At 41.0% G+C, this 25,514-nt stretch overlaps 1 pseudogene across 1 annotated transcript in view; it reads right to left on the bottom strand.

Annotated features, from left to right (window-relative positions):
• The window catches only part of HYDIN2 (HYDIN axonemal central pair apparatus protein 2 (pseudogene)), a 335,703-nt pseudogene that overhangs the window by 285,578 nt on the left and 24,611 nt on the right, over positions 1–25,514 (bottom strand). Inside the window, exons 4-9 of the transcript NR_103556.2 lie at positions 20,011–20,204; positions 11,608–11,729; positions 11,009–11,038; positions 9,677–9,708; positions 8,699–8,767; positions 3,073–3,172 (exon numbers count right to left, since the gene is read on the bottom strand). The product of NR_103556.2 is annotated as an HYDIN axonemal central pair apparatus protein 2 (pseudogene) (transcript). The remainder of the gene's footprint in view (positions 1–3,072; positions 3,173–8,698; positions 8,768–9,676; positions 9,709–11,008; positions 11,039–11,607; positions 11,730–20,010; positions 20,205–25,514) is intronic.

Genomic DNA, 25,514 nt, shown 5'->3' with positions numbered 1-25,514 from the left:
GAATATTAAGGAAGCAAGAGTGTAAGAGCCTTGAAGGTCATGTGTAAATATTGACATTTTATTTTATTTAGTAACCAAATTGGGGCCCTTGCATTGCTTATCTTGCCATAAAAACTCCTCACTCACTTTCACTGCCCTGCAGATTGTCAGGGAAAGATCTGATCTGAGCAGCTCTGGGTGCTCTTCCTGCCATTGCTAACAAGACTGAATTTTGTTTGTGCAAAATCTGAGTCAGAGGGGTGTTCCTCCCCTCTCATCTCCACCACGGACTGATGCACCTGATTAGATAACAGAAATTTGTGGGCTGAATGTTCATGTAGTGACATGAAAGCCAAGATGCAAAAACAGTCAGAGAAAACAGCCTCCCACTCACTCAGAGTCAAGTCAGGTGTCTAAAACCAAAGTTATCTGGGGAACCAATAACTGGCTAATTTGGCCAGAATACCCTTCTCTGTGTCCTCAGCAGCAGTGTGAGGAAGAAATACCAGCATGTCCTCAGGCCCTGTACCCTTCTCAGAAACCAGGACTCTACCTGCAGAGCTTAATCAGGGCCATATTCTGAAGGTGAGATGCAGGCAATGGCCAGGTCTCTCCACCAGCAGCAGTGGCTAGAATGCCCCACACACTTAACAACTTCCGGGACACATTTGACTGTTGACCTACAACAGCATTGCTTTCCTCTGCCAAAGCAAAGAGCTCTGCTCATGTAGAATAGGCTGGCAGTTTGGTAACTTGCCAGAGGCTCCTGTCTCCCTACAGTGAGGTCACCAGAATCGCTTCCCTCCTGAAACACAGTCGATTGAAATGAAGGTCCAGCAGAAATTAGGGGCCAGTGAGTTAAACATGGAGGCCACTTCCAATGGTCTTTAGCCTAAGAGGTTTTCTCCAAGTGAAAAGAAGAAAATTGAATATGGGAATAAAATGATCTTTTAATGCTTCATAACTCAACTCTCTGACTTACCTCAAAAAGAGAGAAATAGTGTAAAAAGCCAACACTGTTTTCTGCCCTCTAAATTTGAGTTTTGAAAGGTGCTCCTCAAATATTAATGATCTGGTTTCTGTGCCCAAATAAATGTCATGATTTACAACTCATGCTTATGGTTGCAATCCTAATCACCCTTCCCTACGGCAGCTTTATAAGTCTTGCCCAGTTCCACTACTGAAATAGTGCACTTGGATTCAAACAACACTCAAAAACCTTGTTTTTTGTTTTGTTTCATTTTTAACTATTACTGAGTGGACAGGGTCAATCCCATTCAAAATTCCCAAGTAGACAAAATCTGTCTGTGGCCCTTCCCCTTCCCCTCACCTTCTTGGCCGCCTCCCTCCATTCCCACTGATGAACTTCCAAGCTTCCTACAGCTCCACTAGTCCTTTTCAACCAATGGGAAACAAAGCAGTTTCCTACATTAGTGTATCTGCCTTCATAAAGTAGTTTAGTGTTTTGCACAAACCAAGAGAATGTTCATTTTAAAAGCAGGAAAGAAAGATTACAGATGGAATGTCAGACACCAGGGCACCTGGATAAAATATAATTTGGGGCAGGGGAGTATATTCTCATCTTACCTAAAGTAGATGAACCAGTCAAGTCAGTACCCATAAGGTAGGCTTGATAAATCTCAGGACCAGGCACCTCCACCCCCAACAAACACACACACACCTTTCCACTGTGATGTTTTAGGCACAGTGTATTGTAGCTCTGCCTATCTACTCAGAACCTAATGTATTCACATGAAAGTAAACTAACAGAGTCTGGCTGTCCTGGTGATTCTCAAGACCCTATTGCCTCCTCACTTACCCAAAAGGAAAGGAGCAGTAGTTTTTTTTTTTTTTTTTTTAATTCAAGAAATCAGCAAAAAAAAAAAAAAAATGTGTTAGTGTTTCTCCAAAACTTCTAAGTTAGAGTGGCACACTTCATTTTTTTTATAAAGAATTTGATTAACTCTGGTTGGCCCAGATTTGCTTCAGCCTAAAGCCCAACATCTCTTTTGCAGCGTGGTATCCTTCAGTTGCTCATACTTGAGCCAATAGAGGTGGGAGGGGAGATGGAGAAGACTGGTTTTATTTGAGCTTGTGAAAATGGCTTTTTATCAAGTTCAATGTCATAAGTTTTCTTCCACAGGAAAGTAGAATATATTTTCTGGTGAGCAATAGTTTTTTATTATATAGAAATGGTTCCTAATTCTTAGCAGACAGGGATTTGAGAAAACAGGGGAGTTCTCCCAAGTCACAACAAATAATGTGATGGTCAACGTGATAGACTATTGTATGCTTTGATAGCTAGTTTCAGACTGATTTTCTGACACATGAGAGAGGAGCAGTGCCTGTTGCCCATGGAAGGCGATTTGCTGGGAGGAGGAACACAAACATCCCCAAAGGCTACCAGGTCAACTGTCATTTTCAAAATTACCATTAAAAGTAGGCTGGTGGGCCGGGCACGGTGGCTCATGCCAGTAATTCCAGCACTTTGGGAAGCCGAGGCGGTCGTATTACAAGGTCAGGAGTTCGAGACCAGCCTGGCCAACATGGTGAAACCCCATCTCTACTCGAAATACAAAAGTTAGCCAGATGTGGTGGCTGGTGCCTGTGGTCCCAGCTACTCAGGAGGCTGAGGCAGGAGAATTGTTTGAGCCCAGGAAACAGAGGTAGCAGTGAGCCGAGATTGTGCCATTGCACTCCAGCCTGGGCAACAGAGTGAGACTCCGTCTCAAAACAAAAAACAAACAAACAACAACAAAAAAAAACCAAAAAAAAACCCACAATAATTAGCTGAGTGTGGTGGTAGGTGCCTGTAGACCCAGTTAACTGGGGGTTGACGCAGGAGAATCGCTTGAACCCGGGAGGCTGCAGTAAACCGAGATGAAGCCACTGCGCTCCAGCCTGGGCTGCAGAGCAAGACTCTATCTCAAAAAAAAAAAAAAAAAAAAAAAGTAGGCTGGGCATGGTGGCTCATGCCTATAATCCTAGCATTTTGGGAGGCTAAGGTGGGAGGATCACCTGAGGTCAGGAGTTTGAGACCAGCCTGGGCAACATAGTAAGACCCTGTCACTACAAAAAATAAGAAACAATTACCTAAGCATGGTGGTGTATGCCAGTAGTCCAGAAATTCAAGATTACAGTGTGCTATGGCACCACTACACTCCGTCCTGAGCAACAGACAAAGACCTTGTCTCTGAAAAAAAAGAAAAGAAAAAAATTATTATTAAAAGTAATAAGAATAGAAAACATAGGCTGTGTATGCTAGATTAACAAAACATTCCCCCTACAAAAGGGGGAAATTTCAATTTTCTATGAAGTTTGAAATCTATAATCATCTGGCATTATTTCCAGGCATGTAGAAAAAAATTCATTTGTCTTTTCATCTGGATTAGTTTGTCTCCATCAGTGTGTACATCAAAAGTACCTGGGGATTCTGTGGGTTTGGGGAACATTTTTTTGTTTGCTTGTTTGTTTGTTTTCAAAATATATGGTAGTATCCCACCACAAATCTATACTAAAATAAAATTTCGCAGTGTATGTCAAATAAATGTGCACTTTGAAAAATTCCCCAAGTAAATTTTGAGATTGGCTCTTGATTCAGTGACACTAATATAAACACTTTCACTTACTTTTGAATTTTGTGGTGACCGATCTTAAGATTTGAAGCCTACACCTTCTTAACTTGGTCCATGGGGGCACAAAAGGAGAGAGAGTATAAATGCTGAGGATGACCTTAACAAAAGTGAACACGAAATTAAGAGATGTGAACCCAAAATAAAAGAAAGCAAAGAACTCTGTCTTCCCTTGTCATCTTTAACTCTGCTCTATCTTGATTCTTCTCTGTGTTTTTCACAGGCTCTTCTTCCTATACCCACTCTGTAAAGTGATTTACCCCATAGCTCTCCACCCCTTTCACCTTGGATCTCTGGTCAGATAATCTCACCTTCCTCTGTGGCTTCAAAGCCATATACATTTGACTTCTGAATTCATCTGCTAGGGCAGCCATAACAAAGTACCACAGACTGACTTGGGTGGCTTAAACAACAGAAATGTATTTTCTCACAGCTTTGGAGGCTGAAAGTCCAAGAGAAGGTATTTGTGGCTTTGGTTTCTTCTGGGGCCTCTCTCCCTGGCTTGTAGATGGCTGTCTTTAGCCTGTGTCCTTACAGGACCTTTCCTCTGTGCTGGCACTTCTGGTGTCTCTTCCCCTTCTTACAAGGACATCAGTTCTGTAGAATTATGGGCCACCCTAATAACTCCATTTTAACTTATTACCTCTTAAAGACCCTAATATGGTTTGGCTCTGTTTCCCCATCCAAATCTCATGTTGAATTGTAATTCCCAGTGTTGAAGGAGGGGCCTGGTAGGAGGTGATTGAATCACGGGGGGGCGGACTTCCACCTTCCCGTTCTTGTGATAGAGTTCTCACCAGATCTGGTTGTTTGAAAGTGTGTAGCACCTCCCACTTTGCCTCGCTCTGTTCTGCTGGCCATGAGAAAATGTACCTGTTTCCCCTTTGCCTTCCGCCATGATTTTAAGTTTCCTAAGGCCTCCTCAGCCCTGCTTCTGGTACAACCTGCAGAATGGTGAGTCAATTAAACATCTTTTCTTCATAAATTACCCAGTCTCAGGTATGTCTTTATAGCAGTGTGAGAAGGGACTAATACAGAAAATTTGTACCAAATAGTGAGGCATTGCTATAATGAAACCTGAAAATGTGGAAGCAGCTTTGGAACTGAGTAATGTACAAAGGTTGGAGCAGTTTGGAGGGTTCAGAAGAAGATAGGAAGATGAGGGAAGGTTTGGAACTTCCTAGAGACTTGTTGAATGATTTTGACAAAAATGCTGACAGTAATATGGACAGAGATAGCCAAGCTGGTCTCAGATGGAGATGAGGGACTTACTGGGAACTGAAGTAAAGGTCACTCTTGCTATACTTTAGTAAAGAGACTAGTGGCATTGTGGCCCTGTGCTAGAGATCTGTGGAACTTTGAACTTGAAAGAGATTATTTAGGGTATCTGGCAAAAGAAATTTCTAAGCAGCAAAGCATTCATGATGTGGCCTGGCTGCATCTAACAGCATAAACTAATATGCATGCACAAGGAGATAATTTGATACTGGAAATTACATTTAAAAGGGAAGCAGAGCATAAAAGTTTGGAAAATTTATACCCTGGCCATGTGGTAGAAAAGAAAAACCCATTTTCTGGGGAGAAATTTAAGCCAGCTGCAGAAATTTGCATAAGTAAAGAGGAGCCACATGCTAATAGCAATAGCCAAGACCATGGGGAAATGCCTCCGAGGCATTTCAGAGATGCCTCGGAGGCATTTCCGAGACCTTTGCAGCCGCCCCTCCCATCACAGGTCTGGAAGCATAGGAGGGTTATATGGTTTCATGGGTCAGGCCCAGGGCCCTGCTACTCTGCGCAGCCTCAGGACATGGTTCCCTGCATCCCGGCTGCTCCAGCTCTAGCCATGGTTCAAAGGGCCCCAGATATGTCTTAGGCTGCTGCTCCAGAGGGTGAAAGTTGCAAGCCTCATGGCTTCCATGTAGTGTTAAGCCTGTGGGTACACAGAGGGCAAGAGTTGAGGCTTGGGAGCCTCCACCTAGATTTCAGAAGATGTATGGAAATGCCTGAATGTCCAGGCAGAAGACTGCTGTAGGGGCAGAGCCTTCAGGGAGAACCTCTACTGGTGCAGTATGGAGGGGAAATATGGTCTTGGAACCTCCACACAAAGTTCCCACTAGGGAATTGCCTAATGGAGCTTTGAAGAGAGGGCCACCATCCTCCAGACTCAGAATGGTAAATCCACCAACAACTTTAAGCTCCATTATTTTGGAGCTTTAAGACTTAATGACTGCCTTGCTGGGTTTCCGACTTGCATAAGGCCTGTATCCTCTATATTTTGGAATGGGAGCATTTACCCAATGCCTGTACCCCCCATTGTATCTGGGAAGTAACTAACTTGTTTTTGATTTTACAGGCTCATATTTGGAAGGGACTTAACCTTGTCTCAGAAGAAAATTTGGACATGGACTTTTGAGTTAATGCTGGAATGAATTAAGACTTTGGGGAACTGTTGGGAAGGCATAATTGTGTTTTGAAATGTAAGAAGGACATGAGATTTGGGAGGGGCTGGGGCAGAATAAAATGGTTTGGCTGTGTGTTCCCACCCAAATCTCATGTCTAACTGTAATTCCTAGAGTTGGGGGAGGGGCCTGGTGGGAGGTGACTGAATCCTGGGGGTTGACTTTCCCCTTGCTGTTCTCCTGATAGAGTTCTCGCAAGGTCTGGTTGTTAGAAAGTGTGTAGCGCCTCCCCCTTTGCTCTCTCTCTTTCCTGCCAGCCATGTGAAGATGTGTCTGCTTCTTCACCTTCCACCATGATTGTAAGTTTTCTAAAGCCTCCCCAGCCATGTTTCCTGTACAGCCTGCAGAACTGTGAATCAATTAAACCTCTTTTCTTCATAAATTATCCAGCCTCAGGTATATCTTTATAGCAGTGTGAAAACAAACTAATGCAGACCCTGTTCCCAAATACAGTCACATTCTGAGGCACTGGGGGCTGGGAATTCAACATATGAATCTGGAGAGACATGGTTCAGAACATAACAACTTCCAGTTATATAACTTCAATGCTACGTGATGACTGGCTCATATATTTGAAAAACTTTCACATGAAAAAGGGACAAGACAAGGACCAATGTGTGGAAGGTAAAAGCTGAAATTTTCAGCTGAACAAAAGGAAGGCCTATGTGATAATGAGGGGGGTCTAGTTATTACAGGCTGCATTCCCTGATAGTGTGTCCCTGCCACAGGAAGGGCACAGCAGAGGCTGAGTGGACCACTATCGTGCCTGTCTTTGGGGAAATCCAGCATAAGCCTCCAAAATCCCTTTTCCTCTTTTAATTTGATGACATTAATGAAGGAATATGAGCTCACAGGGATTAAATCAAGATGATTAAAACAAAGAAGTAGAAAATATGGTCACACGTCTACAGTGTGTCTACAAACACGGCATAATCAGATATGAGAAAAAGGAGTTTTGTGAAATGTTAGAGTCACACCCTCCCTGACGTGAGCAATACAGTGGCCAGCAAGGCAGGAGAGGATGTGCTCTGTATCAAGAATGTGAGGCCTACGGTAAAGCTGACCGGTACAGGTGGAGCAAGACCAACTAAGAAGCATCTTTCCCTGGAGAAAACTGTCACTCATCAAGAGGATGTCCATGGCAATCTAAGTGGAGATTTTCCCAAAGGGACTACAAATGTCAGAACCCAGGTGATCTGACATCAATGAATCTTCCTGAAAGCCCCTTGGGATGTCATCTGATGACATGAGTTAGCATTGGTGGACTAGGGTTGGGAGATCTGACTTGAGAGCCAATTTCTCTGTGTACACTAGTCAGCTGACCTAAGGTGTGTCATTGCCTTCTCTGAGTCTCAAGCTCCTCATCTGTAAAATAGAAAGAATATGGCCTTACCCTGACAGCATATTGTAAAAATTGATGAGATATGATTTAACTATAAATGTGCTATGAATTTAACCATGCAATTTAATTTATGTAACTGTGAATTGTAGACTATTATTTAAACATGTGGTATTAATATTATTGTCATGTTTTCATTTTGCCCAATGTGATGGTCAATACCGTGTGCTATAAATGTAAGTGAGCTCCTCATTAGATGCAGCATGAAAGATTCTGAGGGATGCCCTTTGATAATTTGATTCGCTCAAAAAGATACAGACTTCCTAGTCACAATGGGGAAAGTAATCCAGTGGAGGTATTCGTATTCCAAAATACCACTGGGAGATACAAAGGAATAAAAAATTAAGAAATTCCATACATCAGAAGGACAAGAGCTCTTGAGGTTCTTTCAGTGGACAGTGGTTTTAGACTTCACTGTGCATTAGTTCTGTCCAAGATGCTTATTACAGATGAAGGCTCTCCTTCACTAGAAGCCCTCCCCATCACTACTCTTGATTGCATGGTTCAGTAGGACAATACTTTGAAAAACATTTCCCTGGTGAGTGAATTCAAACCCTCAGAAGAGGGATTCCATGCTTCATACAACACTATGGAGGCTTTGAAGTGTTTACCATACTTGGGTTCTATTGGCAATATCCAGGGGTGACTTGGAGTTTCCTTAAGTTTCCTCTCAAAAATTTCCATTTACTTAACTCCGAGATATGTCAAAATAAGCATTCAAGCTAAGTAAAAAATTGGTGCTTGTTAGACAAAGCCGCTTCAAGACAATGCCCTTGATCCTTCCTCCTCTCCAGGGTGCCACCCTAAACCCCTCTACCTAGAAATTTTGGATTTGCCAATTGCCCAGAAGGATGAAAGCCTCACAGTGCAATCATTGTCAAGTCCTGCTGAGCTGTGTGGGAGCTGGCTTATGTGGAACTGCCTGAGCTTCTCAGGGGCCTCCTCCTGGCACATCGAGCTCAGATGAAATGGAAGGCCTCAAAGCCCCACTCACCCCACCCTACCCACCTTCATTTATACCAGTTCACAGAAGAATAAGGAAAACAGACAAATACCGTATCTGGAAGATATCTCCAAAGACCTAAAGCCCTAAATAGGAAACTGAGAAATTTGTGGGAACCTTTAGAATTTTGATCTCTTCATACACACTGCTAGTCACTGTTACTGAGAAAGTAGCAAGACCAGCTTTTTCCATTCATTGTCATCTGCTCTTGACATGCTGGACTCACCTGCTGTGTCTCCAGATCATGTGCATGGCTGCATGCAGTCTAGGGTTCTCCACCAACAGGCAGATCCACCTCAATAAAGGAAATTACTTGAATCAGTGAGGGACAACTAACATCAGGTGACATTTTAAGGTAAACTCTTTTATGGCTATACTATTTCTGTCTTTACTAAGTATACTTGTAATCTGATCAGTAGAGTATAAGTAGCCTGCTCTCTCATAATATTTTTGTAGAAATCAATACAGTGTAATCAAATTGGTGTCAATAGGTTAGATTCCTTATTTGTAATTATTGAGGGTTTTCATATCTTCATTGAAAGACTATTGGTTTACATCATGCCATTTGACTTTTGGTTCAAGTGCTTTCAAAGAAACTGATTTCTTAAAATGCATCCTTGCAAGCCTGACAGTCTAACAGTTGAAAATCTATGCAAGACCATAAGGCAGACTAAAGATGGGTGAGAAGGCAGGGATGGGGGTAACCAAGGACAGAGATACTAAGTATACAAATAGATGTTTTCCAGCCAAAGCTGGAGGAGCAAATGGAGCAACTGCTAATAAAAAGTGGGCATGTACATTTTGATTTCAATATTTAAAAGTAGCCCAGTGTTCCATTAAAAAAAATGCAGCCACTATTCAAGGAAAAAAATGTGTGTAATATGTATGTGTGTGTTACATTAAGAAAGGAGTTCCACTTCAATTTCTGGGCTTCATAAGCAATCATCCTTGTGATCTTTCGTTTGTGCAGTTTCATAGTCTACAAAACACTTTCACAAATATTACTTATTCATCCAACAAACATTTATTGAGTTCTTCCTCACCCCCAAGCATTGTGCCAGACACTGGAGATACAAATATCAAGAAATAATACTTACCTTCAAGAAGTCCACAGAAGCAATCTGCAATCTCTTACCCTCAACAAATTTAAGGAACAGAAATATCTTTGCAAAGAACAGAATGGGAAGATGATTTTTTAACTTACAATGCCCTGCTACAATCCAGATTTCCAAAACCCTAGGAATGATAAAGGAGAGAAAAAGATCATGAATTTCCCAATATTTTGAGAAAGCCATTATACTGCTTCTCATTCATTAGACTCCATTGCTAATCACTGGAGTTTCATACTGTTTAAGGAGGCATTCCTCCAATGCCTTTCTGAAAGTTTCTAGGGATGTCCTAATACCTACAGACATCTCCATTTGCCATACACCTGGACTGAAAGGGGATAGTATTCTCTCTCCTTAATTGTAATAGGTTAGGCATTCAATTGACAAATAAACCTTGAGTACATTAACTTAAAACATAATTGAGGATCAGCTATGATGTGTCATGCACTGATTGGAATTATAAGAGATGAGTAAGTCCATGCCCCTTGATCACAAGTAACCCAGAAAGGGAGAAATATTTACAAAAAGCTAGGTAAAATAAAATGTAAAGCAACTGCTCTCCAGTAGTGGGAAGGGCATGCCCTAGGGCAGACTTTTTCACCTAGCTAAACTTCCCAACCTCTGACTCCTGTCTTCGCCATGCTACACGTGGTAGGACGAGCATCCGAAACAGACAGCTGACATGCTTTAGGCACTGTGTTGTGTGCACTTAGATTCTTCAAAATTCTGGAATGGGAATATGTCCTCTCAGCCCATTAGGAAACAAGCCAGCCTAACTTCACTTTTTAAAAAAAATCTCATCAGATTCATCTTATTTTGATAGGAATATTGAGTTAGGTGACTAGAAAGATATAGGGAATCTTGACTTGAACAAGAATTCTGAGAAAGTCTCAAGATTTCTTGCTGGTCAAGCTGGAAAATAATTTGTACCAAATGATACCACACAAGATTAATTCATAATATTTAAATGACAGTGCCCTAAGGGTGCTGGTGAGCCTAGAGGAAAGTTTCTAAAGATATTTCTTTGCCTGTGCCCTTAGCTCTGTATTATCCAAATATGTTACACAACAATTCAGATGAAGGTATAGAAATCATGCACAATTAAAATGCCAATGAATGTTTAAAATCTTAGAATATGGCAAATAACTGGCACTGTGCTGGCTCATGATAAATATATGTTTGACTTTCTAAAATGAATGAATGAATGAATGAATGAATGGCTTATACAGATTTGAAAAGGAACTAACACTAAAGAAATCACATGTAATGGGATAAATTTAAGATCCTGCACTAGTATCCAAAACTAAATACTAAAGCACAACACACAAGAGGAGAGATTTTACTGAGAAGTTTAATTGGAGATAGTCATTCCCCATCCCTGAAAAAAAAAAAAAAAAGATACATAAACAAAACAACTCATATCCTACCTTTAGACTGCATTAATAGAAACATAATACCTAGAATGAAGGAGATGATAGTTTACTTTGCACTATCAGGTCACATCGGGGGTGTTTTGTTCAATTCTGGATGCTACACACTGAACTGACTTCAGGAAAAATAGAACAGTGAATAGGCTAAACAGCATGTGATGTGAGACATAATTTATTGTGTCTGATTATCATTATAATCATAAAAAGAACTAAGTGCCAAGTGCTTTACATGCATTTTCTCGTTTAGTTCTCACAACATTTTGCCTATGAGGCAAGTACTATTATTATCCCCATTTCACAAAAAGAAAATAAAGGCTGAGAGAGGCCAGGCAACTTGCCCAAAGTCAGAGAGGTGATGGGGGGTGGGCAGCCAGGAATCTCAACAAGGCTTCTCTTGTTCTAGAGCTAACACACATAGGAAGGGGAGATAGAGCCGGGTGCAGTGGCTCATGTCTGTAATCCCAGAGCTTTGAGAGACCAAGGCCGGAGGATCACTTGAGGCCAGGTGTTCAAGACCAGCCTGGGTGACATAGCAAGACCGCCATCTCTACAAAAAAATTAAAAATTAAAAATTAGCTGGGTGTGGTGGCACATGCCTGTAGTCCCAATTACTCAGGAGGCAGAGGTGGAAGGATTGCTTGAGCCCAGGTGTTTGAGGCTGCAGTGAGCTATAATTGTGCCATTGCACTCCAGCCTGGGTGACAGAATGAGACGTTGTCTGAAAAAAAAGAGGAGAAGACAAATATTAGAAAGACTACCACTTGGAAATAGGATTGGTGCATAGTCATACCGACTATAAAAGGGAGCACTAAAACCAAAGAATGGGAAAATTGGCCCGTTACGTGGAAAAATGTACAGTAATTCTTTTAGGTGTCTCACACAGATCCCTTCCCAGGCTTTTCAACCCCATTTCAAATCAAATTGACTATTTCCTTGAACAAGGGCAATTATATTAATTGCAAAGAGTTTTCTGTTTGCCATCTACCAAAGGTTACAGCTCAAACATTTAAGGTAGTGTCTTTCTGTTGGCCACATTTCTCTGTCTCTTTCTATTTCTGTTCCTATTAACTACTGCACGGATCTGAATAATGCAAATATTAAAGATGTTAGCTTTGACTTTACAAAATATATCAGCTATAGGTGCCCTTGAAAGCCAGGACTTGCTCCTTCCCTTGGTGCCACCTTGAAACCAGGATGGGAAATTTGCAGGTCACCCTAGGTTTTGAAAAGAAGCGATCCATTTCCAAGTTGCAATCTACTTGAAATAATCTCCCCAGTTACGTGGAAGTAATTTATTCCATATTTACTTTCTGCTTTGGATTATCAAATATCTCTTCCTCTTACCCCCGGGGGCAGCATTTGGGATTAAAAAACTTCTACTACCTGCCCTGCTGGGGCTGCATTATTTAACTCTTTCATGCCTATTTAAGAGCAGGCAAAATTTGCAGCAAATGATAACTGAAGTCCCTACTAGCCCTAAGATGTATTATTCTACGTTAACTTTATTTGTTTTAGATGTACTCTATTTCCAAAACTGTTTATTATTTTTAGCAACATTTTTTTAACAACACTGAGGCTGACCTATATAAAGTTAAGCAGCTGAAAGTAAAATATTTAAGTAACAAGTTGACCCATGCAATGCCAAACTAAAGAGTAGATGTATTGTTTATTCCAGGGTCAGACGAAGGTCAAGTGGTGCTAAACCTAGAGGTCCCCTCATTTGGGTCAAGTCTCACTTTCCACATGAATGGATTGCCACCAATGAAGGCAGCCAGGGGACTGTTTTGTTTCAAATTCCCTGTCCTGGGTGTAGCCCTCCAAATATCAGTGCTTGCTTGTTGAACTTCTTATGGAGAAGAAGAAAAGTCTTTTAAAAATAAATCTTGGACCCTCACATCTCAGAGCCATGGGCGAGCCTGACTTGCTTTTGTTTTTAATAATAGACTACCTTTTAGAGTTGTTTTAGGTTTACAGGAAAGTTAGGCAGAAAGTATGAAGAGTTCCCATATACCCTCTTCCTACCCTACCCCTACTCCCACAGTTTCCTCTATTATTAACATCTTGCATTGAACATGACTCTTTTTTTTTTTTTTTTTTTTTTTTGAGACAAGGTCTTGCTATGTTGCACAACCTGGACTTGAACTCCTGGGCTCGACTGATCCACCCACCACAGCCTACGGAGTAGCTGGGACTACAGGAGCACCCCGTCAGGCCCGACTGAGCATGACCTTTTGACAGAGTAGTCCAGGTTTGCTATTCTTAAGTTCCCTGACCTTAAGATGGCAAAGAATACTGTAAGGCCCATCCCTGTTCCAAATAGGACTCACTCAATCTGTAGACCTTAACCAGCTTCTAGGGCCAAGGCATTCCTCCTACTAAGAAGCCTTTGTCACAACAACAGGAACCTGACCCAGACGCAACCTCCCCTAAAAACAAGCCAGACAAGAGAGTGGGCAGGGAGCAGACAGCAGGAACAGGCTCTGGCGAGGGCCTGAGAACAGCAAGTTTCAACGAGGTACTTTTGAAGAGATTGTTGGCTACATTATCTTATTTAATTACCGTGGCATAATCCTTACATGGCTAAACTATTTATCAAAAACAAGGCTGTGCAACAATTCAGCAAATGTCACTGTGTTGTTATTGGTGAAAGTTGCTCCCACAAACTGCTCTTTCGGGGTGTGCTGTGCTAGGAAGAGCCTTTTCCAGGTGCCTGGCCATTCTTCTGCACCAGTTTTTAATTGCTAATGAATTAAACTTTCCAAAGAGATAAGAATAATGTTGTTTTGTTTGCGCACAGATTGCATGACTAACAAGGACGATATAAATAAAACCATTCCAAGCTTTATCTGTGGGTGGACAACAGTGCCTGTGTTCAAGTGAAGCCTGAGATGGCTCCCACACAAGATTAGGTTGTTATTGCGGAAGCTGAGGCTTGCACACTGTTAAAAGCCCGAGCTAATATGTTCGCTTAAGACATTATGCCTAATTATGCTATGTGTCAGTAAGGGAACCTGTTCCCCAAACGTTAAACTATCCTGAAGCACCAGTGTGGGTCTGAGCCAAGTGGACTCTGTAGGATTCTGAGCTAACTATGCTCCATGGTGTTTATGAAAATGGGTAAGATCTGATCCTGGTGCATTCTCTACCTTCAGGATGATATGTATTCCTACTTGGACCAGTAACTATCTTAACAAATATATGTGAGGAGAAATGTTTGTGCTTTTATTTTTGGAAACTTACCATAAAAATCTGCAAACATTTCCTATAAAATGCAGAGTTCTCTGTCCATCAAGTTGTTTGGGGGCACTGAGGAAGGAGATGTTTATTTATGAGTTTGTTTCCAGTTCAAAAAAGGAATGCCTTCATGAGCAGGAGAAATGACTGAGGTCTGGATTTCTGAGTCATGATTTGGGCTTGGCTCGTGGTTTTAGGAGAGTTGAACATCCTTTAGCTAATGTTTCTTGTCTCTATGCGGGTGGGGTGTGCTATGATAAGAACACTAGCCTTGTTTTGGCTGAATGTTGAGTGCAAGAATCCTTTGCTGACCTAAGACCATCTAGAACTGCTAGAAATTCAGAATGGCTAGAAATGTATGTGTTGTGTGTGCCTTTCTCTTTGTTCCAACCCTAACCTTAATTGTGTGTGTGTGTGTGTGCACGCACACGCGGTCAAGTCAAGCAGGGTAGAAATCTGAGGCACTGGTAGCCCACTGGGATGCCTTTGTCTGGGATTCACTCACCATCAGTCAAGAGGCTTCAAAAATTAATTTAATTTGATTAATGGGAGATTGAAATCCCACACCAAGGCCTTAGGAAATCTCATGGTGAATTAAGTCACATGGATCATTTCATACCTCAAACTTCCTGTGGCTTCCAGGGAGAATCCATAATCTCCAGGAGTTGGTGAGGCAATCTTTCACCCCTAGACACATCTGGACTCTGACTGCAACAGGTAGAATCTTGACTCTGTCCAGCCATCCACATCTCTACTCCCAGCCTCTTTCCATATATTTTCCAAAATACTTAAAGTCACCCTGAATGCCCCTCTTAGCACTTAATGCTCAGTATCATCATTTAAGCTCATTTTACAATTTTTCAATGTGTCTAGAAGTGTCCTCATTATTTCCTAAAACAATATCCTTTTCCCTGCACCCCACATTTCTTCCTAGAGGATGCCCATTCTCTCCTCTCCCTTCCATCAGAGCTCTAACCAAAGCCCATGGTTGCTCCCTACTCTCTGACTTCAATTCCTCATTCTTCCTCATTCTCACTTTCACTGATGCATGCTCTAATCACCTCAGTTCTCCTAGTCTTTCATCATTCTAACCCACTCATAAATACTATTTGTATTTGTTTACACACTCAGTCAAGAACTTTTTACTGTCATATCTGGCTCAACATTTTTCCTGCCTCTGTGTCAATTTGGTTCCCTTTTTTGTTCTAAATGTATCATCCACTATTCATCCTTTCATCTAAATCCATCTTTCCATCCATCTACTTCACAATTATTTATGGAGCACCTAATGGGCTTTATGGACTGCTTTAAGCACTGAGAATAAGAAGGTGAATAGGTGGCAGCCCCTATTCCCAAGGAGTTCACAGGGGAAGATGGATGCACATACATCACATGTGGTTAATTATCTGGGTGTGATAAAGGCAATGAGAGAGGAGCACAGAGGACCAGTCTAGACCAGGGCAGGGGAAGGTAATCAGAGCAGTCAGCTCCTCCTCCCCAGCCAGGCTGGTCTTTCTGCAAAACCATCACTCCTCAGTTCATGGCTTCCCATGCCGTGTACCTGAAATGCCCTTTCTATCCAAATCTTGGCTATTTTACAAGATCAGAGTATTCTACTCTACCTCTGGGAACTTTTGGACTTATTCATAGCATCCAATTTAGGAATTCTTTGATACATGATGCTTTGCCTTCTCAAATAGGTTACGGCTTCGAATTTAAGGAGAGATCATTGTGTCTCAGTACTTTTGTGTTCCTTACACTGTGCTACCAAAAACACTGAATTAAAAAACAGGACATGGATAATTCATTCCTAGATTTTCCTGACCATCTTACCTTTTCTGCCAACATGAGTAACACCTTATCTATATGTAGTAGGCACTTAATAAAATAAAGACATTGTGAGACATTGGAAAGAATAAGAACTTCAAACTCAAGTTCAAATTCTAATTCAATTACTGGCTGTTTGGACTTAGGCAACTTTATCTTTTCTGAGCCTCAGGCTCCTTAAATGCAAAATGAGGACTAATAACACAAACTTTATTTCTATTTAGGGGACGATTAAATGAATCTGTATATGTAAAATGCCTAGCACTGTGCTTTGCATATATTAAGGAATCAAAATATGCTAGATCCTGTCCCTCCCTCTATTCTTCGTCCCCTCTCCATCCCCAACCCTTCATGCCAGGCAAAATTTGGCAAGAAGCAATAGAGACATTTAAAACTTTAACACCTGCATGCTTTTGGTTGCAAAACAGTGCTTAAGCTTTTCTCAAACTCCCAACATAAAGCCTGGGAAGGACCTAGATTTGTTCATCACACCCAGCTTGTCACAGGGAAAATCTTGGTGTATGTATTACTCAGTCTTATGTGGGCATAAATGTGATAAAAGTTCTGTGATCTTTGAATTTTATGGCTCTCAAAAACATGTGACACTCTACATTTTTTACTGCCCTTCGTCAGTCAGCTGATTTTGAGACCTAGGGAAACCCCTGTACGTTCTTCGACCCACAGAAAGGGTTAAAGATTCCTACTACAAAAGGACTCAGTGTTCTAACTCTAAATGTCTTGGGAACATGGCCTGGAAAGGCTGAGGGCCATTGCATTACACAATTACCTATTTGCTGGAGACAGTATATTTAATAACTAATCATCTAATCTAATAATACTGAAGAATATCAGACTCAAAGGTCAAGTGTTTAAGATTAGGGAGAAAGCAGCCTTAAAAGTACATTTTAAAGAGCCTCACAGGTCAACAAGTCAGCCTTAGAGCCTGCCATGCAACCACCACTTCCAGGCTGCTAGGGGAATCAGAAATGTCACTATCTTTCAAACTTAGAATATTGATTATATCCACTCTACTCATAGGGGCTTTATTCCATGACATCTCTTAGTTAGCAATTTAAGAAAATGATTTCATCCTATATAATGCCAGATTAGCTCAATGACGAAAAATGTTACACTAGGAGCTCTTCGATACACACTTGAGAGCTCTTACCCAAAATGTTATTTTCCCTCTGGACTTTCCTGTGTTGATAAGTTCTGTTTGCTTCCAATTGTGGTTCACTCTTGTGGATCTTTTTCTCAGAGACCTAAGTGATCATCATTCCTAGAGATATTTGTGGTACAAATTCTTTATTTTCAAGTTCTGAAAACCTCATTCTAAAAAGTCACCCTTTATTTCTCACTTTTAAAAGCCTGAATGGGCACTCTTCCTCATCTTTCATGAAGTTAAAGTCTTGTCACAATTCAAATTCCCTAGATGAATCCCTTAAAGAATCACTACACAGTGCTGACTCTCCAATGTGCACACTTGACCAGCAGGACGTGTATGTTTATTTCAAATATTTGAGTCCTTTTGCTTGATCTTTTCATAAGTTGGTCTCACTTCAGTCCCCTGATGGCTTTAAATCGTGGTACTTTGCTCACAATTTCTCAGAGTAGAACATTTTTAGAGAAAGATCTAGACATCTCTGCTTTTTCTAGGAAAAATAAAAACATAAAAACTAAAAACCCCGCAACTCTCAGGATAGACCGGATTATGCTGAGGTAACAAATTAACCCTAAAATCCCAGTGGATCATCAAAACAAAGGTTTCTATTTTGTTTCACTACATGCTCATCACAAGTTAGTGAGATGCTCTGCTCCTAGGGCTACTCAGGCACCAGGAGCAACTCCAGGTAGTTCCTCAGGGACCCAGGCTGAAGGTGATTACACCATCTGGTCATGTCCCTACTGTAGAAGACAAAGAGGACCTCATAGCATTCTTCTATGCCTAGGCCCAGAATGTACATTGTCCCACTTCAGTTTATAGCCCATTAGCTAGTGCAAGTCACAAGTCCCCTAAGTACCAGGAAATGTGGTCTTTTCTGTGTGCAGAAACAAGAGAAGAACAAAAAAAGTATGCAAACACACTCACATCACCATTGCCTACATTAAGATTTTATGCTTCAAGAAGAGTGAAGCCAACAGAAAAGGCTGAACATAAAGGAAATCTCTAAGCCTGGACACCCGGTGGATCCAGAATAACCAAAACATAATTAAAATACTTACTGAGCACTTACTGAGTACTTTTCTCAAGATTAATGCAAATTTCTATTCTGCCTTTAATTCCTTGATTTTTAAAAATATTTTAAGATTTTTGCCAAGCTTTTACATTTTAGGTTATAAAAGAATTTCCAAGGCCTGGTATGGTGGCTCATGCCTGTAATCCCAACACTTTGAGAGGCCAAGATGAGAGGATCACTTGAGCCCAAGAGTTCAAGACCAGCTTGGGCAACATAGTGAGATCCCATCTCTACAGAAGATAATAAAATTTAAAAATTAGGAGGGCATAGTGGCATGTGCCTGTAGTACCAGCTACTCAGGAGGCTGAGGTGGGAAGGTCACTTGAGCCCAGGTGGTTGAGGCTGCTGTGAGCTATGATGGCACCACTGCACTCCAGCTTGGGCAATAGGGCAAGACCCTGTCCAAAAAAAAAAAAAAAAAGAAAAGAAAAGAAAAGAAAAAAGAAATGATCTTCCAAGAAGAAAGGTTGATACTAATTTTTAAATGTAAGGTCAATCACTACTTGGTTCACATTAAATTTTCTAGCAAATCTTGTGTTCCTCATTTGCAAGATTTGCTTCTGATTTGCTAGATTTGCTTCCGGATTTCCCTTGGTTTGCTTCTCTTTGTTCAGAAGATAAATTCACACTCAAAGTAGCACAGGGCCTGACATAGATGTAAATGCTAAGCATATATACCAATGCTTAGGAATAACAAATAAATGAGTGTGAAATTAGAAGCATCACTACCAAGAATATTTATACAAATATCTAGACTTATACTCCATGCTACAACAATAAAATCCAAAATCAATGTGTCTTACCTTTCGCATACGATCATTAATGCCAAAGGGCAGTACTGATTTCATTAAAAGAACAATTAGAAAAGATGAAGAGAGATTTTCCTGTTTTCCTCCAATTTTGAATCTGTCCTCCTTTTCCCATTTTCCCCATTTTCACAGATTCTTATGATAAAGTTTTCATTTCTCAAGGAGCCAACGTCACCCCAGACTCACACAAGGGAACACAACTGTGTTATCATTGCTTGTCTGAAGGAAGGGAAGTCACCAATCCTCCTTCAAACAGGAAACCTTGTGGAAAATAATTGTGAATGTAGAGCACACCTGAGCAGAAAAAAAATGCTGACCAGAACTGTGCAATAAGTTTCTTCCATGTTGGAAGAGTTTGACTTACAACTCAGCCATTCTCTGCTGCTTATATAAGAGCAAAGTCACGTCAAAAAAGAAGCCAAAGGAAACAGAATGTTCTCCATTGCAGGAATGACTGAAGTTTCGCCAATTAAACTTTTCCTTAGGCATGAACATAAGTAATAACCTAACATATCCTGAGTACTACTTTGTGCTATGCAGCCTGCTAAACACACTACATGCATTAAGGTTATTGAAAGTGGAAGTAATGCTCCCAGTATTTGTGCAGGATAAAAAGAAAATATTAAATTATTTGTTTTTGTTTATTTTGTAACCTTATTATTTAGTTTACTTTTTTGCATTTTATTATTTACATCATACTGTATATAGTATATTGGTACCTATATAAAATAAATATATACTCACACACACATATGTTGAGAGCATACGAATAGCAGTTGCAGCTCAGTTTATTTTTAATCAATGAGAAAGGATTATTATTATTATTGTTAGTTATCATTATTCCTGTTTGCAGAAAAGGAAACTGAGGCTTAAAGAGGTTAAAAGGACTTACCCAAAGTGTCAAAGTTGGTAAATGGCAGAGCTGGAATTCAAAGAGTCTGATTCCAAAGTCTATATAGTCCGGCGTGATCATTAAAGGAATTCCTTGTGTTCAAAGAGCAGTGCTTGAAAACCAAGCTCATTTGTGCCTGCAGAAATGCCAGCCTCTGGGGTAGAAGAAATGTCATACTTTGATCATCTTCCACACTGAATTAGGAGGAAAAGCAGAAGAAAAGAAACTGAGGGTACCAATGCCAGACAGTCACTAGGTAGTAAATGGAAAAGAATTTAAAGAAAGTGAAAATCAAAGGAAAATATCACAACGTTTGGTTGACACCCTATTCCTCACCCAGCCCCTTAATGTCTTTCTACAGAAATCAGATTTCTGGTGCAGGCAGTTCATTGTTTGAACATGCAGTAATGGACACATCCAGATTCCTAACACTGGGGAGTTCAGAGTCAATCAACATGGATTGAGACACTTACAGCTTCATCTTTTGCTGATTGAGCACTGAGGGGTGTGTATCCCCATGCGGTCCCTAAGAGCTACACCCACGGGAGAAACATTTTATGTTGTTCAAAATACTTGGTGCTATGGTTGTTATCTTCAATTTTCTTAACTAGTAATGAGTGATCCTAGTAAGTGTTAAACCAATATGCACTAGGCTCTCTTTAGGATATTCATTACGGAAGGCTTTGAAGCTGAGAAAGAAGTTTAGAGTTTAGGGAAAATTTTTAAAACAACTCTATATTATAGGCATTTTAAAAAATAAGTGCAATGGAATTCTTTAGAGGTAACCAAGTTTCTCAGGATATCTTTGAGGCAGTGATAAAGATTTAAGTTTTTAAAATCACTATCAAACCCCTTTGTGCAACATTTGCATAAATTCTCAAACAATGGGACTGTTTTCATGTAAATTTGTTTTCAGGGAGATTCCTGCTTTCTGAAGGCAGTGTAACTGTAGCTGAGTTACATAAAGTGACATTTTATTGCCTCCTGTGGAAGATGCTTTGCACTAATGATCTGAAATCTGATGTCTCAAGCTAGGAATTAGATGATCTGTGGCTCAAAGTGTGAAAAGAGAAAGTGGGGCCTTTATGTTTTAGTTAATTACTTCTGGCTAAAATGTGGGGAGCGCTCCCTGGACCTTCTGGGACTCCTGGAATCCGGAAACCTGTCTACAAAACCTAAAGGATTGAAGCAGTTGACCTCATCACAGGAGTGACCACAGGGGGAAAAAACAGTGATTCACAAATCCAAGCCTGATTTCAGTCAGAAATTTTTCTGTGTTTCATAAATCTGCCTTTTTTCTCTAACTGCCCTTGCCACCTAGCAAGCCAGGAACAGAGAGACCAAAAATCATCATAAATATGGAATATGCAGTCGGAAATGTGGAAAAAGAGCTTGCTACCCAGGGAGAACAAAGCTTTCACCCCTCTGGGGCTTCACTGTGAAAAAGAAACAACTCTGCTTGTTTTGTCTTATTTTCCCAGATACTTCTATTTGAAAAATATAGTAAATCAATTAATCAATTTTTCTCTCCCTACTATCCACGCCCCCTCATTTCTCCAGTTCTCTAATTCTCTAATTCCTGAGTTGTCTAATTCCTGAGTACTCCTAGGGCAGTTCAGCTTACTACAAGAGAATTTTTTGTGGCTGTTCTCAAACTCCATATTCTGTTTGCAGAGAATGCTGTTCCTTAATTCTGTTTGAGTTTCAAAGAGAAAAAGCTCATACCAGTTTAGATTACCCACAATCCTCAATGCATATCGAACAAAATTGTCATTCCTAATGGCAAAGTTCAGGATATAACTGTGTTAGTTAATTTAATCATTTACCATGAAATACCAGGTGTCTTAATCTTATATATAGTTCTTAAGTTGGCTGCATATTTTTGTGCAATTGAATACTGACCCTACATGAAGAATACAAGAATTTTGTTTTTAAGTAAATGTTGTTAGAAATAAAATGTTTCTACTGGAAAAAAAAATATGTTATTAGAAGCACTGTGAATTTTTCTCCAATGCTTGAAGAGTGACCACTCCAGCAAGCCTGGCTTATGTTGGTGGCATTCTGCCCTGCCACTACCTCCAGCACATCCACAGACCTTTATTTTTGTTATTTTATGACCACATGCAGGATTCTGGCACCAAGGACTCCATTTGGACTTAGGAAAAGTAGAAGAGCACTCTGAAAACTGGACGTCGGGAATTGATGAACTGGCATCGCACCCCAACAACACACTCTGCTTGTGGGCCTTACTCTCCAGATACCTGATGTATTACTGGAGAAGCAAATGCAACAAGGCAAAGATGTCTTCATTTTCTGTCAAAGCAAGGCCTCAACTATGGTGTCATTGAGGCCCTGAATCTCCGCAGCCAGCCAGTCAGACCCCATCAACAGCTGCAGCAAGCAGGGCTGAGGAGGGGAATGGGAGGCGATAGGAGCCAATGAGGGCTGAGCCCGCAGCTCTGTGTCTGACTGGAGCAGAGAGACAGAGAGGCCAGGGCCAGAGGAAACCCCAGCAGCAAGGGAAAAACAGATTGACTCTCAGTGACTCATTTAGCTCCTGGGTTGGACAGATCTCTCCCCTGCTGGCAATTTGGCTCTGCATCAATAGTTCGAATACCAGGCTGAACAGCTTCAAATAATTAGGGGGAAAAATCTGCAAAACTGCTAGCCATCCAATTCTTTACTCTGTGCTGAAAGACACAGTACAAATGACATCTAGGTTATTAAATATGAAGTCACTGGATTTGCTGCCCATTTGGTCCAAAGGCAGAAAACTGGATAAAACTCAAATTTATAATTCAGTGTAGATGGCCTGTTTGTCCTTGAGGCGATCCATGAATTTTGGCTGGGCAGGCGCTGTGAATGTGGAAGTAATGTCGTGGGGGAAGGGGGATGAACAAGGTTTGTTCCCCCCGCCCCGCCCCGACTCGGCTTACACCCCCTGGGGAAAAAAAAATGAAAATGTCAATAAAGACTGTGAATGTGAAGAGAAATGGAATCTGAGCCCAGAGTTTAGTAGCTGGCAGTTTAAACTTTATATACTTTAGGCCGACAGGCGTCTGGATCTCCTGTACTTTATATCCAGCGTACAAAAACTGAAGCAACAGGCTCATTTGGTATCAGTAAAGGTCAGTTAAAATTATAGAGACATTTTTTGGAGCAAATCTCCAGTCTTGTATTTGCATATTTATGAACTAGAGATTAAGATAGGCCATTCCACTTATTAGAGCAGTGCTGCTATAGTTAATAGTCTGTCAGCATTTCCATTATAAACCCCATTTTTCAGTGTTTAGTATCTCAGCTGTTAGAAATTACATCAGGCTGAAAAGTGGTCTTCAGCATCTCAGGCCTTGGCAGGGTGAGCCGGTGGTGGTGGTGGTGATGGGGCTTGGGAAACCAACAAAGACATTTAAATCAAGCCAACTGTTTTTACATTGGATATTAACAGTAAATATGAAATCAGAGATTTTGAGGGGAGTTGGTGAATTCTTCTCCTCCCTCAACACCCCCCCACCAAATTATCTTTCCCCTGTCTTATCCTTGTCAGTATCAGGGCTTTCACTCTCTATTTAAAGGGAAGACTCTGGGATTTTAGGGCAAAGATCCAAAGTTTTGGCTTGGCAAAATAGTTTTCCTCACTTCACTGGAATTGTGGGGGTAGGGGAGAGCATCAGAGTAAAGCAAAGATGTTGAAGACATTCATTCATTCATTCATTCATAAAGAATTGGCTCATGCAATCATGGAGGCTGGTAAGTCCAAAATCTGCAGGTTAGGTGGGCAGGCTGGAGACTCAGGGAAGAGCTGATGTTGCAGTTTGAGTCCAAAGGCAGTCTGCTGGCAGAATTTCCTCTTCCTCAGTGGAGATCAGCCTTTTCCTTATGACCTTCAACTGATTGGATGAGGTCCATTCACATTATGGCACATAAAATTAACCATCACAGAGGCTAAGCTGCTTTACTCAGTCTATGATTTAAATGTTAATCTCTTCTAAAAAATACCTTTGCAGCAATATCCAGACATCTTTGACCAAATATCTGGGTACCAGGGCCTAGCCAAGTCGCACATAAAATTAACCATTGCAGGGACCATGTTTTAAAGATCTCCTATACATCAAATCCTGGGCTTGGCCTTGGAGACACAAAATTAATGACACACTCCTTGTCCTCAAGAAACTTATGATCTACCATCACACTGGTACCAAGTTTTCACAATAAAATTACAGACTCAATAGCTGGTTCCATGCTTTGCTTTCTCTTTTTGGCCACTTGGGATATCCCCTGCACAGAGGCACAATTGTGAGTGTGCTTAGCTGCATTCTCAAGAGAAGGCACTGCTATCTAGGGACTCCTTATCACATAGGAAGACAGCCTGCTCTTTCCAAACCAAATTCTTGTAAATTCACTGGACACTAACCTGTCAAGTAACTCAGTGATATTCAAAGATCCTTTGGGATTTGAGGAGAAATTGGAAAAAGAGAAAAGAGGAAGCAGCTTGCTTTCTCAAGTCATTCATTCAAAAAAAAAATGAGTATTGGCTCCTGTTATATGGCTCCTCGATGTGTTTTAGAAACCACACAAACACATCCTCAACTGGACAACCATAGAGCAGGTTGAAAAATTCCTACTCTACCTGGCGGAGTTTCCAGCCCCTCTGCAGAAGTGCACACCTATGCAAAAACCTTCATCAGAAGAGAACCTTAAGGGATAGTCTGACAGTAGGGAATCCCAATGTGTATAACCAGTGGTCCTTGCTATCTGACTCCGAGAGCTACACTGAGTAATAGAAGCAACTCTCCTTGCCCTGTCTTCTAGGTTTCTATTATACTTGGAGTAGGTAAGCTTTATTTTATTTGCTCAAGATATGTCACACCCCTGGACACACAGAATAAAAATTCAAAGTCCTCCTGGAATTCAAGATGTGTCATACCCCTGGACACACAGAATAAAAATTCAAAGTCCGACTAGAGAGGCAGAGAATATCATCACTGTATCACTCCATTTTACTTTATTGAAAACCTTAAAAGTAAATATAAAACGACAAATTACGGTGCTGCTATTGTTGCTTGCTGTCTGGGAAAAAAAGAAATGTTGGATAAGAAGGTCAAAATGTGCCAATTCAATGCCCTGAGAATGGTCACCTAATCTTCTATCAAGAGATGTGACATACCATCTAAAGAACGGCTGCCCAGCCAGGCGCAGTTGGTCACATCTGTAATCCCAGGACTTTGGAAGGCTGAGGCAGGCAGATTCCTTGAACTCAGGAGTTCAAGACCAGACTGGGCAACATGGTAAAACCCCATCTTTACCAACAATACAAAAAAAAAAAAAAAGCTGGGCATGGTGGTGCGTGCCTGTGGCCCCAGCTACTTGGGAGGCTGAGGTGGGAGGATCACCTGAGCCCCAAGGGTGGAGGTTGCAGTGACCTGAGATTGCACCATTGCACTTTAGCCTGGGTGACAGAGTGAGACCCTGTCTCAAAAATAAGTAAAGAAAGAATGACTGCC

The sequence above is a fragment of the Homo sapiens genome, chromosome 1 (genome assembly GCF_000001405.40).
Source record: "Homo sapiens chromosome 1, GRCh38.p14 Primary Assembly".
Taxonomy (NCBI): domain Eukaryota; kingdom Metazoa; phylum Chordata; class Mammalia; order Primates; family Hominidae; genus Homo; species Homo sapiens.
The sequence above is the reverse complement of the archived record's forward strand: the minus strand, read 5'-3'. Positions and strand labels throughout refer to the sequence as shown.